Source organism: Homo sapiens, chromosome 10 (genome assembly GCF_000001405.40).
Source record: "Homo sapiens chromosome 10, GRCh38.p14 Primary Assembly".
Lineage (NCBI taxonomy): Eukaryota > Metazoa > Chordata > Mammalia > Primates > Hominidae > Homo > Homo sapiens.
The window spans coordinates 103,410,941-103,425,947 of NC_000010.11; the positions used below are offsets into that span (position 1 = coordinate 103,410,941).

General features: G+C 47.8%; 1 protein-coding gene across 5 annotated transcripts in view; it reads left to right on the forward strand.

Annotated features, from left to right (window-relative positions):
- The window catches only part of PDCD11 (programmed cell death 11), a 49,669-nt gene that overhangs the window by 14,315 nt on the left and 20,347 nt on the right, over positions 1-15,007 (forward strand). For all 5 annotated transcript variants that reach the window (NM_001437421.1, NM_014976.2, NM_001411058.1 and 2 more), the window contains 12 exons: positions 2,176-2,382; positions 3,026-3,150; positions 3,330-3,390; positions 4,065-4,211; positions 5,551-5,802; positions 6,852-6,992; positions 7,500-7,694; positions 8,598-8,768; positions 10,408-10,627; positions 12,048-12,197; positions 12,603-12,718; positions 14,044-14,585. In NM_001437421.1, coding sequence (NP_001424350.1) covers positions 2,176-2,382; positions 3,026-3,150; positions 3,330-3,390; positions 4,065-4,211; positions 5,551-5,802; positions 6,852-6,992; positions 7,500-7,694; positions 8,598-8,768; positions 10,408-10,627; positions 12,048-12,197; positions 12,603-12,718; positions 14,044-14,585 — 2,327 coding nt within the window. The remainder of the gene's footprint in view (positions 1-2,175; positions 2,383-3,025; positions 3,151-3,329; positions 3,391-4,064; positions 4,212-5,550; positions 5,803-6,851; positions 6,993-7,499; positions 7,695-8,597; positions 8,769-10,407; positions 10,628-12,047; positions 12,198-12,602; positions 12,719-14,043; positions 14,586-15,007) is intronic.

Consider the following 15,007-nt stretch of genomic DNA (forward strand, 5'->3'; position numbering starts at 1 on the left):
GGTGCGTGCCTGTAGTCCCAGCTACTCGGGAGACTGAGGCAGGAGAATCGCTTGAACCCAGGAGGCAGAGGTTGCAGTGAGCCGAGATTGTGCCACTGCACCCCAGCCTGAGCGACAGAGTGAGACTCTGTCTTTAAAAAAAAAAAAAAAAAAATTTTTACAGGCGAGGTCTCGCCATGTTGCCCAGACTGGTTTTGAACTCCGGGGCTCAAGGAGTCCCCCAACCTTGGCCTCCCAAAGTGCAGGGATTACAGGTGTGAGCCACAACCCTGGCTCCGCTCGTATTTAAATATTCAAATTTCCTACAATGAACATGGATATTTGGGAAGAAAATCCTAATATATGTTATTCAGAATTTTTTAGAATTCTAAAATGATTTCTTACTTTTCTTTTTTTAAATAGTAATGTGTGCTATAGATAATTTATTTATTTATTTATTTTTTGAGACAAGGTCACACACTATTGCCCAGAGTGGAGTACAATGGCACAACCACGGTTAATTGCAACCTCAACCTCCTGGGTTCAGGCGATCCTTCCACCTCAGCCTCCTGAGTAGCTGGGACTACGGATGCATGCCACCACGCCCAGCTAATTTTTGCTATGTTTTATAGAGATGGGGTCTCGCTGTGTTGCTCAGGCTGGTCTTAAACACCTGGGCTCAAATGATCCTCCTGCCTAGGCCTCCTAAAGTGCTGGGATTAGCCTCCTAAAGTGCTGGGATTATAGGCTTCAGCCACTACAACTAGCTGAGAATTTTTTTTTAAAGTGAAACTAGGATTTTCTACTACCTAGTGGTAATACTGTTAATATTTTCCTAAACCTCTTTTTAGTAATTTTTTTCACCCTATAAGCATTTGTGTATAGAGTTGAGACATTTTACATCTTTTAATGTTATGATGAGATCAGGCTTTTTCTGTTAGTTTCAGAGGAGCCTTGGATGCAGTGACACCAGTACATGGTTTCTGTTGTATTACAGATACATCAGCTCCTTGGTGTTGAGGGGACACCTAGTATATAGTTTTCTGGCCTTGAGTAAACTTTCTGGCTAATTTTTATTTATTTATTTTATTATTATTTTTTGAGACAGGGTCTCACTCTGTCACCCAGGCTGGAGTGCAGTGGCACGATCATCACTCACTGCAGCCTTGACCTCCTGGGCTCACTCAGGTGATTCTCCTGCCTCAGCCTCCCAAAGTGGTGCATGCCACCATGCTTGGCTAACTTTTTTTTTTTTTCTTGAGACTGAGTCTTACTTTGTCACCCAGGCTGGAGTGCAGTGGCACAGTGTTGGCTCACTGCAACCTCTGCCTCCCCATTTTAAGTGATTCTTGTGCCTCAGCCTCCTGAGTAGCTGGAATTACAGGTACGTACCACCATGCCCGGCTAATTTTTTTTTTTGAGACGGAGTCTTGCTCTGTCGCCCAGGCTGGAGTGCAGTGGCGTGATCTTGGCTCACTGCAGTCTCCGCCTCTTGGGTTCAAGCGATTCTCCTGCTTGAGCCTCCTGAGTAGCTGGGATTACAGGTGTGTGCCACCACACCCAGCTAATTTTTTGTATTTTTAGTAGAGACGGGGTTTCACTGTGTTAGCCAGGATGGCCTTGATCTCCTGACCTCGTGATCTGCCTGCTGCCTGCTTCGGCCTCCCAAAGAGCTGGGATTATAGGCATCAGCCACTGCTTCCAGCCTAACTTTTTTTTATTAAAACTAGAGATGAGGTTTCGCCATGTTGGCTGGGCTGTCTCAGACTCCTGATCTCAAGTGATCTGCCCACCTCAGACTCCCAAAGTGCTGGGATTACAGGCGTGAGCCATGATCCCCAGCCTATTTTTGTATTTTTTGTTGAGACAGGGTTTCACTATGTGCGCAGGCTGGTCTCTAACTCCTGAGCTCAAGTGATCCACCTGCCTTGGTGTCCCAAAGTGCTGGGATTACCAGTGTGAGCCACCCATACCTGGCTTGAGTAAGCTTTGATTTAGTCATACATAGTCCCTATGGGACATTTTGATTTTTCTGCATTCTGCTTGAGTGTGGAAGCCAGTTTGAGTACTTACATACTAAGGATGTGAGTACTCACATACCTGGTTAGCATGTGGAAAGGCTTGATGCCTGGAAGGTCTGCTCTAGGGTGCTCCTGTGTGCCTCCTCCTGCTCACCCTGCCCTTCCTTTTGTCTAGGTGAGGGCCTGCATCCTTTGCGTCCATCCTCGAACCAGAGTTGTGCACCTGAGCCTGCGCCCCATCTTCCTACAGCCTGGACGCCCACTCACCCGACTCTCTTGCCAGAACCTTGGAGCAGTGCTGGATGATGTTCCTGTCCAGGGTTTTTTCAAAAAGGCTGGGGCCACCTTTAGGCTGAAGGATGGGGTTCTGGCCTATGCCCGGGTAAGGAGGCCTCTTTGTTTGGTCAGGGATCTTATCACTGGAAGGACTTCTGGAGCACAGGGGGCCATTTCTGCTTCTTTCATTCCTTGATGCTAGTTTAAAATTTTTGGATATTGTAGTTCTAATTCCTGTTCATAGTGATTAGAACAATGTCTATTGACTGTATTAGGATGCCTTAGAACCAGCTTGCCATATCTGATACTTGGTTAATAGTTAAGTATAAGGATGAGTTAGGATCCAGACCAGGGCCCAGCAGAGTTTTTCTTAAAGGGCTATGTCATAAATACTTTAGGCTGTGGGCCCTGTGGTCTCTGTCCTAATTGTTCAACGCTGCTGTTATGGCATGAAAGCAGCCATAGACAGTACGTAAATGAACAGATGGCTGTATTCCAATACAACTTCTATTTACAAAAACAGGCACTAGGCACAGTTGACTGACCTGTGTTCTGGACTTTCCCTGACCTTGCTGAAATTCTGTGATGATAAAGAGCAGTTTTTTAGTGTGAAGAATTACTTAACCAGGCAATCAAAGTACTGTTTTTATGGTACATGATAAGTGTTGAGTCCTCTCTATGGGCTGTAAGGTCTCATTGGCTCAGACCTGTTGTCCCTGGCTTATCCTCAATCACTTGGTACTTTGCAGCTCAGCCATCTCTCTGATTCTAAGAACGTCTTCAATCCTGAGGCCTTCAAGCCAGGGAACACTCACAAGTGTAGAATTATTGACTACAGCCAAATGGATGAACTGGCCTTGCTCTCTCTACGAACGTAAGTCTGTCATTAACAGGTAGGGGTGTAGAGATGTGCACCTGTACATGTTCATATTCCATTTCTCCTGGCTGTGCTTGGGAAGGGTTTTCTTTCTTGCCAGCATGCCTGTGGTAGCCCTGAATTTTAGGCAACCTCTGCCCTAGTTTATTTAATTCTGTGTTTTCTCCTTGTCCTAGGTCTATTATTGAAGCTCAGTACCTTAGATATCATGACATCGAACCTGGGGCAGTGGTAAAGGTAAGACCTCAAGCATATAATTAGGTACTGCCTCACCATCAGGCGTTCTTTAGTTCACGCACAGGTGACTGTCAGCCCGTTAGTCCTCATGTTAACACATTGAATGTCATGTTCCTTGCTTCTGCCTGCTGACTAGAATTTCTTTCTCTTTCTTTGGGTAACTCATAGTTAATTTCAAGGTAAGATCTTACTAGCACCACCCAGCTACACAAAGGCAGTAGATCATAAATCCTGAGATTTGGGATTTGATGGTGGTTAGTAGACCTGATCAAAAGTTAGTCCTGTGATTATTGATCTACCTGGGATATTAGTGAGAAGCCAGTTCCAGGTACCTGTCCTGTCCGACCATTTGGCTCTAATCGAGCAGCTCCCTTTATATGTAGAGTTTATTCCTTAGGAGACCTTGACATAGTCCCTTCCTTTGGGGAATGTATTTTAAGGCACACAGAAAGCACATGCTCACACAGAAAGATGTGAAGGCTCCCATAAATAAAGCTGACAGAATAATCCAGCTCAGTGTGGGGTGTGTGCTTCACCCATGTGCCATCTGGAATAACAGGCACAGTTAGCCCAGGAAGTTGGCTGTGAAGGGGAGGTATGACATGCCTTGTTGTAAGAGGTGGGGGAAAGGCCATTCTTGAGACATTGTGGCAGCTTATCTTTGGATTCTCTAGGGCACAGTGCTAACCATAAAGTCATATGGGATGCTGGTGAAGGTGGGCGAGCAGATGAGGGGCCTGGTACCTCCCATGCACCTGGCTGACATCCTGATGAAGAATCCGGAGAAGAAGTACCACATCGGGGATGAGGTCAAGTGCCGGGTGAGCCTCCTGAAGGGTCTCTTGGGGTTTTGGCTAGATGGGAAGAAAGCAGTTCTCAACTGAAGTTTCTGCCTTTTTCCACAAAGTGAGTGTGTAATGTCTGTAGTGTGTCTTGTGCTGTACCTGGCATTGGGAAGAGAAAAGTGAGTCCCCGTTTTGTGTAGTATAATTGGGAGTTAAAATATTCATACGTGATGAGAGAGCAAGCCAGCCTGTGATCTTTTGCCATGTGGCTTGGTGCAGGTTGTGTGCTGTGGTCACACCTGAGAAAGGGGAGGTGAGGGTGGGCTGGAGCAGCCAGAATTGTTGACGTTATCAGTAGCGACTGCCACGAACAGGACTGCCACGAACAGGTATTCCGTGCCAGTTTCTATGCTAGGCATGTGACAAGCATTATTTCATTTAATCCTTGAAACAACCCTAACAATTAAGCACTATTATCTTCATTTTGCGGGTGGGGAAATTAAAGCTTCGGAAAGCCAACCGTCTTGCCCAGAGTCACACAGCTAATACATGGCAGAACAATTCAGCTCTGTATGACAATAATGTTTTCTAGATTTCTGGCAGAGGTGGAACTTGAAAGGATAGGTAGGATTTGGAAGGTTGGGGAGAGCAAAGGTTGTGTTCTAGGCACAGAAATAGCCCTGGCAAAGCTGCCAAAACATGGGTGATTTATGACAAAGGCTCGAATCCGAAGGAAAGCTTCATAGGGTTGTGAAGATCCAACATGATGATGCACACAAGAGTGCTCCACGGGCAGGCACTCAGCATGTTAGATTTTCCGGTATTCAGTTTATCTCATCGTTATTGACTCAGCAGAGGTAATGATTGCCCATTGGTGCAAAATTTTACAGTAGTGGGATCAAGGGTTAAAAATACTTTTTCTGTCTTTAAGGAGATGACCTTCTGAAGGGGTGAAAGACAGTTGCATCTCCATCTTATTTCATAGCTAATAAACGGCAGTACTAAGGTGGTAAATTGGTTCATCATTGGTTCTGTTAGACTAGATGCAAAGCCCACTAGGAAGGAGCCAAGATGGTGTAGAAGTTAGTGTAACCAAGACTCCATAGAGGTGATGTAAGATAATTAATGTTGCTTCATGGTCAGGAGAGGGTAGTTTGCAGCAATTTATGGGAGGAATTACATTTGAAATAGTGATTTGTATGCTCCAGATTGTCATACAGCAGGAAGAATCTGCCACTGAGATGATTAGAGGAAAAGCTATAGCAGGTTCTTGGGGAATGGCCCCGTGGCTTTTGGGTTTAAGAGGTTGCAGAGACCAGCTCAGTGGCTCTCATGATAACAGATAACTTGATGACAGCCTGTGTCCCTCCCCTAGGTTTTGCTTTGTGACCCTGAAGCCAAGAAGCTGATGATGACCCTGAAAAAAACCCTGATTGAGTCCAAACTACCTGTCATTACCTGCTATGCCGATGCCAAGCCTGGTCTGCAGACACATGGCTTCATCATCAGGGTCAAGGACTATGGCTGCATTGTGAAGTTCTACAACAATGTGCAGGGACTGGTGCCCAAGCATGAGCTCAGTACTGAGTATATCCCTGACCCGGAGAGAGTTTTTTACACTGGCCAGGTAACCCTTCCCCTAGACAGGTCCCCTTTACCCTTGGTGACCCCACAAACACAAATATGAAGGAGCAGTAAGTAGTGGGGCTGCCTTTAGGAGGCTGAGGAAGAGAGCACATGGGGCAGTGGGTGTGAGCCGGCTAAATGGAGGAGACGGGGAACAGAACAGAGAGAAAGCCTCAGCGGGGTTCAGCAGAAGCTGGCAAGCTGATGGATCTCAGGCACGCATGGAAGAGGTCAGTCTTTACTTGTAATAAACCTGTGCCTCTCATATCGGAAATTGTTTTGAGGTCACTGTCACCACATGGGGGCAGTGCTGTAAAACTAGTAAGTCTTGGTATCACTAGGAAAAGCATTTTTTTATTCCTTTAAACGACTTTAAACAGATAGATAATAATTGTACATATTTATGGGGTACAATATGATATTTCTTTTTTCTTTTCCTTTTTTTTTTTGAGACAGAGTTTCCTCTGTCACCCAGGCTGGAGTGCAATGGCGTGATCTCAGCTCACTGCAACCTCCACCTCCCAGGCTCAAGTGATTCTCGTGCTTCAGCCACCCAAGTAGCTGGGACTACAGGCATGTGCCGGCATACCCGGCTAATTTTTGTATTTTTAGTAGAGATGGGATTTTGCCATGTTGGCCAGGCTGGTCTCGAACTCCCTGGCTTCAAGTGATCAGCCTGCCTTGGCCTTTCAAAGTGCTGGAATTACAGGCCTGAGCCACTAAGCCTGGCCACCATGTGATATTTCAATACATGCTTACAATGTGTAACGATCAAACCAGGGTAATTAGCATCTCCATCACCTCAAAAAGAAAAATAATTTTTAAGACTTGGATTGTACAAAAAAAGTTACTTATGTCTTCCATTTATCCCAAAGGCTGCCCTGGGGGATTGTGTAGCTCTCAGTGCATTTCTTCTTTTCACTGCCTCCTGATCTGATCCAAAGGCTCGGTAGATCTCCCAAGTCCTCTGCAGCAGTAGTGGAGGGCACGTTGCAGGGCCTGCAAGGCTTGCTGGGAGGAGTTGGCCAAGCCTGTGTGGTTTCTTGCCAGGTGGTGAAGGTTGTCGTATTGAACTGTGAGCCATCCAAAGAGAGGATGCTCTTATCCTTCAAGCTGTCGAGTGATCCAGAGCCAAAGAAAGAGCCTGCAGGACACAGTCAGAAGAAAGGAAAAGCCATTAACATTGGGCAGGTACGTGGACTTCTCTGGACAAGCTATTTTATGTTACAGTGGCAGAGAGCAGGGAACCACTAACACATGGCATATTGGAACCCACGAAGCGGAAAGATAGAGGTAGCTAGATAAGATTTTGGGGCTAGAGGGGTTCATACGCATTCCTTCCTGTGTGTCAGAACAAATGGAAGCTGTCCCTGAAAGTCCTGTTACAGTGAGGCTTTTCAGCAGTGGGCTGCTGACCTCTTTCCTCTCGGGTCCCTAGGGCCAGCCTGCAGTTCTGGCTTTCCTGGGGCTCCGTGGAGGGACTTGAGAGAGGAGTGCGATGGGTCCACCCATGAGTCCTGGTGAATGTGCACGTACATGCATGCTGGGTGGTTGGGGTGGTGGGTGGGGTTTGGAAGAAAGCTGCCTCTTAGAGATCCTTGGTGCCGGAGTTTAATGCCTCCAAGCCCTGCCTAATCCAGACCAGGTTGTTCTCTGTTCATGACAAGTGCTATTTTTGTCTTTCTCTTCCCTGGGTAGTTGGTAGATGTGAAGGTTTTAGAGAAGACCAAAGATGGGCTGGAGGTGGCTGTCCTGCCCCACAACATCCGTGCTTTCCTCCCCACATCTCATCTGTCGGACCACGTTGCCAACGGCCCATTGTTACATCATTGGCTCCAGGCAGGTGACATCCTTCACCGAGTCCTGTGTCTGAGCCAGAGCGAGGGGCGTGTTGTATCCTTGACTGGTATCTGTGGAGCAGAGGAAGGTGGGGGGCCATGGGTGCTTGGATGGGAAATTCTGGGGAAATTAGACAGCTATTTGACCTCAGAAATATCTCCACAAAACCAAACCAGTGATGAAGCCTGTGCTATGGAAAGTAAGAGCAGGCCTGAGTAAGTGCTGCCAGCAGATGCTGGTGGTCAGGGCGGAGTAGCCTGAAAGGTTGCAGAGAGGGGGACTCTCGGAGGCTGGAGAAGGAGGCCCAGTGGGGTGCTTGGGAGCACATCTAGTTTTCTTGGGGCTTTCAGTGCCTGCCCCTTGGGTTAGAACCAATAATAAGGTGGCTTCTGTCCCCCTTTCCTCTTTTTTTTTTTCCCCTATGCCTTCTCCCCGCGGGGCTATAGGCTCAGGAATATTCCCTTTGGTCTTTGCATGGGTGCTTTGAAGGAGCTTCTCACAGAATGTAAAGTTCATTCTCCTGGGAGTAAAAATGGGCAGAGGAGGGAAAATGAGTTCATCAGTGTAAAGAGGGAGTAGTAGAGGATTGTGTGATGGCTGATCCAGCTGCCAGACCAGGGGGATGAGCCATCCCTTTTTGGTGTCCTCTAGTAATCTGCAGATTAGTGAATCGGGAATGGAATAAAACCGTGATTCTCAGCTGTAGTGTGCAGTTGGGCCATGCAGATGGCTGGGCCACACCAAAGTTTCTAATTCAGTAGGTCTAGGTGGTGCTTGAGAACTTGCATTTCTCCTAAGTTTCAGGCGATGTTGATGCTGCTGGTCTGCACACTTAGAGAATCGCTGTAGCAGCAGAGATCAGCCTGCAGTTCTGTCCTTCTCTGTGGAGAAAGGAGATGGGAGAGATGGACATTTCATCTGCCCTTTCTGGAACATTCCTTGATGAAGTACCACTAGCTTCTTTGCAGGAAGCCAGCCTTGGTCTCCACAGTAGAAGGTGGCCAGGATCCCAAGAACTTCTCAGAAATCCATCCTGGAATGCTGCTCATTGGTTTTGTGAAGAGCATCAAGGACTATGGCGTGTTCATCCAGTTCCCCTCAGGTCTTAGCGGACTGGCCCCAAAAGCTGTAAGTTCAACTCCATGTACAAGGGCTTTGAGGAGAGATACAAGGTCACAGAACCTGAGGGCGGGTAGGGAGGAGTAGGATACTTTATTCCTTTTTTTTTTGAGACAGTCTTGTTCTGTCGCCCAGGCTGGCTTGCAGTGGTGTGATCTCTGCTCGCTGTAACCTCCGCCTCCTGGGCTCAAGCGATTTTCCTGCTTCTGCCTTCCAAGTAGCTGGGATTACAGGTGCCCACCAACATGCCAGGCTTTTTTTTTTTTTTTTTTTTGAGTAGTAGAGACAGAGTTTTACCATGTTGGCCAGGCTGGTCTTGAACTCCTGACCTTAAGTGATCCACCTGCCTCGGCCTCCCAAAGTGCTGCGATTACAGGTGTGAGCCACCGCACCTGGCCAAGGATACTTTACTCTTTTGAAAGATTTTCAGGGGTACCTCTTAAGGTGTGTGTGACATAAAGGCACCTGGGAGGGGTGAGTGCAGCTGAGCTTTTGGCCCATGTTCCTCTCGCCCAGCTGTGTGACCATCTGGAGGAAGGGACACCTTTCCCACTCCACACTACACATTGAAGGCCTTAGTCTCCAGTGTGAAGATGACTGCACTTGTTTTTATTCTCTCAGCACACTTAGACAGGGAAATTGATCATCCTGAGCTACTGAGTACAGGTTTTGCAGACTTCTGAGGTTTTTGAGGTGTTAAGGGACCAGAATGTCTTTGAAATTATTACCTCCCCCACCCCCATGTCATTGAGTCCTGCACTTTCAGATGGGAACAATCCCAGCAGTCCCCTAGCAGAGCCTCCTGGTGTGCCTGGCACGTCAGCCGAGGCCTATTGAGGGGATGGGACTCACCAAAGTCATGGAAGACAGCGAGCAAATGGCGTGCAGCTGATTGCTGCTGCAGATCATTCATCAGTATTTCTTCCCCTCTGTAGGCCTGTCTCCCTGGTGTTTTGCCTGGGAAAATCTCATTTGCATCCCCTGCCAGAAACATTTTAAAAATGGGAGCAGAGGGGAGGGCCCCAGAAACAAGCCCAGTGAGGGGCAGAGGGTTCCCGTGGGTTGTTAGGGGTGAGGACAGCCCTGGTGTCTGCCTGGCTTGCTGTGAATGTGCCTTCTTGACTGGGTGCCCTCTCCTGGAGGCTCTGTTTTTTTTGTTGTTGTTGTTTGTTTTTGTTTTTGTTTTTTTTTTTTGAGATGGAGTCTCACTCTGTCGCCCAGGCTGGAGTGCAGTGGCGCAATCTCGGCTTACAGCAACCTCTGCCTCCCGGATTCAAGTGATTCTCCTGCCCCAGCCTCCCGAGTAGCTGGAATTGCAGGTGCATGCCACCACTCCTGGCTAATTTTTGTATTTTTAGTAGAGTCAGGGTTTCACCATGTTGGTCAGGCTGGTCTGGAACTCCTGACCCCATGATCTGCCCGCCTCGGCCTCCCGAAGTGCTGGGATTACAGGCGTGAGCCACTGCTCCCAGCCAATCCGGAGGCTCTGTTTTTATGGAAGGGAAGTAGAGCTGTGTTCAGAGAGGGCTTGGGGGAGCTTCCTAGGCCCCATTTCCCCCTACTCACGTACCCCTTTCCAGGAACATCAAGTGGGTTGTCTTAATGAAGACCTTTCCTCTTCTCATCTCCTGCCTGTTCTTCTGTTCAGATCATGAGTGACAAATTTGTGACCTCCACAAGTGACCACTTTGTTGAGGGCCAGACAGTAGCGGCAAAGGTGACCAATGTGGATGAGGAGAAGCAGCGGATGCTGCTGTCACTGCGGCTGTCGGACTGTGGTCTGGGGGACTTGGCTATCACCAGCCTCCTCCTCCTGAATCAGTGCCTGGAGGAGCTGCAGGGCGTGCGCAGCCTTATGAGCAACCGAGGTGGGGCACCTGTGGGGCAGGGGAGGTGGGCCAGGGGTGGGAGTATGTGTTGTAAATTACACCTGTTGTTAGGTGAGTTGTTGGGCTTCCCAGAACATAAGAAAAAAAAATTTGGGGCCGGGCGCGGTGGCTCACGCCTGTAATCCCAGCACTTTGGGAGGCCGAGGCGGGTGGATCATGAGGTCAGGAGATCGAGACCATCCTGGCTAACAAGGTGAAACCCCGTCTCTACTAAAAATACAAAAAAAAATTAGCCGGGCGCGGTGGCGGGCGCCTGTAGTCCCAGCTACTCGGGAGGCTGAGGCAGGAGAATGGCGTGAACCCGGGAAGCGGAGCTTGCAGTGAGCCGAGATTGCGTCACTGCAGCCCGCAGTCCGGCCTGGGTGACAGAGTGAGACTCCGTCTCAAAAAAAAAAAAAAAAAAAGAAAAAAAAAATTGGGTTAACTTTTTTTTTAATGGAAGTATGACCTGCATAAAGTGCACAATTTTATTATTATTATTATTATTATTATTATTATTATTATTATTATTGAGACCAAGTTGCACTCTGTCGCCTGGGATGGAGTGTGGTGGTGCGATCTTGGCCACTGCAACTTCCACCCCCCAGGTTCAAGCGATTCTCCTTCCTCAGCCTCCGGAGTAGCTAGGATTACAGGCATCTGCCACCATGTCTGGCTAATTTTTGTATTTTTAGAGAAGACAGGGTTTCGCCATGTTGGCCAGGCTGGTCTCGAACTCCTGACCTCAAGTGATCCACCCGCCCTGGCCTCCCAAAGTGCTGGGATTACAGGCGTGAGCCACTGCGCCCGGCCAAAGTGCACAGTTATTATGTGTGCAGCTCAATAAATGTTTATATTACACCCCTTTAAGATAAAGGTCATTACGAGCATCCTAGATGTCCTCTTCTCCCCACTGCCAGTCCAGAGTCAAAATTTCCCTTAGTTCTGTGGCTTTATATTTGCATTTGCTGTGAATTCACTCGCCTTTTCACCTTTCATTCCTTTATTCAGCAGATGAAATGGAACTGGGACCTGCCAGGCTTTGTGAGGGGTTATTATTCTGACCCTCTTAGACTTTGAACCATTGTGTGGGGTTGTTGTAACTTTAATGGAATTTCATAGCAGGAGGCTTGAGAGGGGACAGTGAAAATTCAGAAACCAAAGGAAAGCCTGTCTTCCTGGTATTTGTTGGCTACTCCCATGAATTATGGTCAGGTAGGATTATTAGCAAGGGGCTTAGGTCTGTCTGCTTGTGACAAGAGTTTTCATGGATACTGAACATTTTTGCAAAAAGTGATTTTACCTTGTCAGTGGTTCCAGTGCTCCACTGTCCTCCGTGGTGATAGCACACTGCCAGAGGAAAAGAACAGTGAGAGTTCTTTCATGGTACTAATCCGTGTTTCCTTTGGATCTCTGGCAGACTCTGTGTTGATCCAGACGCTGGCCGAGATGACCCCAGGAATGTTCCTTGACCTAGTGGTGCAGGAGGTGTTGGAAGATGGCTCTGTGGTATTCAGTGGGGGTCCAGTGCCCGACCTGGTCCTGAAAGCCAGCAGATACCATCGCGCAGGTGAGTGCTTCTGTCTTACCCATTGTGGTTGGTGGGAGGACCCTTTGTCCATTGCTCCCTCTCCTGGATATAGAATTTCTAAATACTTACGGTAGGTGAGTTGATTCGGTAGAGATTTTTGGCATGCCTATCTTGTGTGAATGCAAAGGCTTAGGTATGAATCCTTTAATTGTTACAATTGGGTAAATCTAGATTTTTATATATTAGGTTACATAAATTAAGGCCTACCTGAACTTGAACTATGGGAGGTAGACCCTTGATTTCCCTAATTATGGCCCGTATGGACCCAGGACATGTGTCCTCTTTGCTTTTTTGGATCTAAGGGGTAGCAGCTACATGTGAGAGGTGCTGCTCTCCCTTCACTCTGTTCCAGAAGGATAATCACACTGTGGTTCTGCACTGCAGGGCAGGAGGTGGAATCTGGGCAGAAAAAGAAGGTTGTTATCTTAAATGTTGATCTTTTGAAGTTGGAAGTGCACGTTTCCCTTCACCAGGACTTGGTGAATAGAAAAGCTAGAAAGGTAAGCTTGCTCCTGACTTCCATTTCCATGGTTTCACATGATGTACCCTTCAACCCCACTCCAGTTCAGGGATTCCAACTCAGATGCCTGTAGCAAGGGTAGCCCTATGTCTGGATGGATCCAGGACACCCCCGGTTTAGACCTCTTGTCCTGGTGTGGTTCATAGTGCTGACTTCTGTTCTGGTTCCGGTGATAAGTTACATGGGCACTCCATCTTTAGGGCCAGACAGATAAATAGTGTGCAGGAGTGGAGCTGGCTGTGTGGGTAGGGAGTGGCTGGCCTGGGACTCTGACGAGCTGGAGAGTGCATGCCCAGCCCCTGTGGGGCTGAGACTGTTCAGTCCCGCCCAATTGTTGCCGGGTGGGAATCTGGGGCTACTGCTGCTAAATCTTTGATTTTTAAGAGAAGGCAGAATTTGGATTTTTATTTGAAATAAAAGCTGAAAATGTTGGAAACTTATTTTTTTAAAAACATCCCATGAGCCAAACAGCATGTCTGTGGGCAGTTCAGACCTCCAAGCTGTGCGTCCACACCCTCGCCTGCCTTGTCTTCTGGACACTTTTGTGTGACATAAGAATGGGTTTGAGGGAAAAATTATTATTTTTCTCTGGGTGATGAATATATTTGGTTATTGTCTAAAGCACTTATTAGGCACCTAGTTGCACAGAGTATGGTGCAGTGTAGATATAATCCTTAATTTCCAGTTGCTTACAGTATTAAGAGTTTAGGACAGAGAGAGAATGGAAAGCAATACTAACCTCTCATTCAGTTTTCTAGCAGGACCCTGTACCATTTTATCACCTAAGGGAAGCTTGGGCATATAAGAGCATGAGCACAATTTGGATTTTGAGGAAAGAGAGGCTAGGTGCCTTGCACACAATAAGCTCTCAGTAATGACTCTATTCATTGCTTGGGTTGAAGAGTGATTAATTGGGGGTGGGGGAGCTGCAGGACAGATTCAGGAACCACAGTGTCTCTAAGCTGAGAGAGCTGTTAGAGGTTGCAAGGCTGTGCATCAGAATTATCTCAATAACTTGTAAAATTCAGATTTACTAGATCTAGGATAGGGTCTTGCAATTTAAATTCAAAGCAAAGCAAAAACCAAGCCAAGGTAATTCAGAGGCAGCCCCATGAGTTTAGTGTACAGGAGAGGAAAGCTAGGTCCAGGGAGTGAAGGCTAGTCTGTTCCAGCTCAGACCAGCCTTGAGTTCCCTAGCCTTGGGACCCCAGAGGGTTTCCTCAGCCACACCCTGCCCAGTGGGGCCATGAGTGAGTGACCATGCTGTGTAAGGAAAGCAGGGATGGTGGCTTTTCTCTCTTCTAGCTGAGGAAAGGCAGCGAACACCAGGCGATTGTGCAGCACTTGGAGAAGTCCTTTGCCATTGCCTCCTTGGTAGAGACGGGCCACCTGGCAGCTTTCTCCCTGACCTCTCACCTCAACGACACCTTCCGCTTTGACTCAGAGAAATTGCAGGTGGGACAGGGTGTCTCCCTAACCCTCAAGACCACAGAACCAGGAGTGACTGGCCTTCTTTTGGCTGTGGAGGGGCCGGCTGCCAAGAGGACCATGAGGCCGACCCAGAAGGACTCTGAGACAGTTGATGAGGATGAAGAAGTGGATCCAGCTCTGACTGTAGGGACCATAAAGAAGCACACCCTCTCCATCGGGGACATGGTCACAGGGACTGTCAAGTCCATTAAGCCTACCCATGTGGTTGTGACTCTGGAAGATGGCATTATTGGCTGTATCCATGCCTCCCACATTCTAGATGATGTTCCAGAGGGCACCTCTCCTACTACCAAGCTGAAGGTTGGGAAGACGGTCACTGCCCGAGTGATTGGCGGGCGAGACATGAAGACATTCAAGTATGGAGGCTCTGGGGGTGGGCTGGCTTCGAGGGAGATTGTTGTTGTTGTGGGAGGACTGGGAAAGTAGGTGGGCTCCAAAAAGTTGCATGTAAGTCAGATTCTCTTTTAGTTAACAAAAGGCATTCACCAAAGAATTATTTTGCAAGATTCTTTTTTTTTTCTTTTTTTTGAGACGGAGTCTCACTCTGTTGCCCAGGCTGAAGTGCAGTGGTGTGATCTCGCCTCACTGCAAGCTCTGCCTCCTGGGTTCACACCCTTCTCCTGCCTCAGCCTCCCAAGTAGCTGGGACTACAGGCACCCACCACCACGCCCGGCTAACTTTTTGTGTTTTTAATAGAGATGGGGTTTCACTGTGTTAGCCAGGATGGTCTCAATCTCCTGACCTTGTGATTTGCTCACCTCCACCTCCCAAAGTGCTG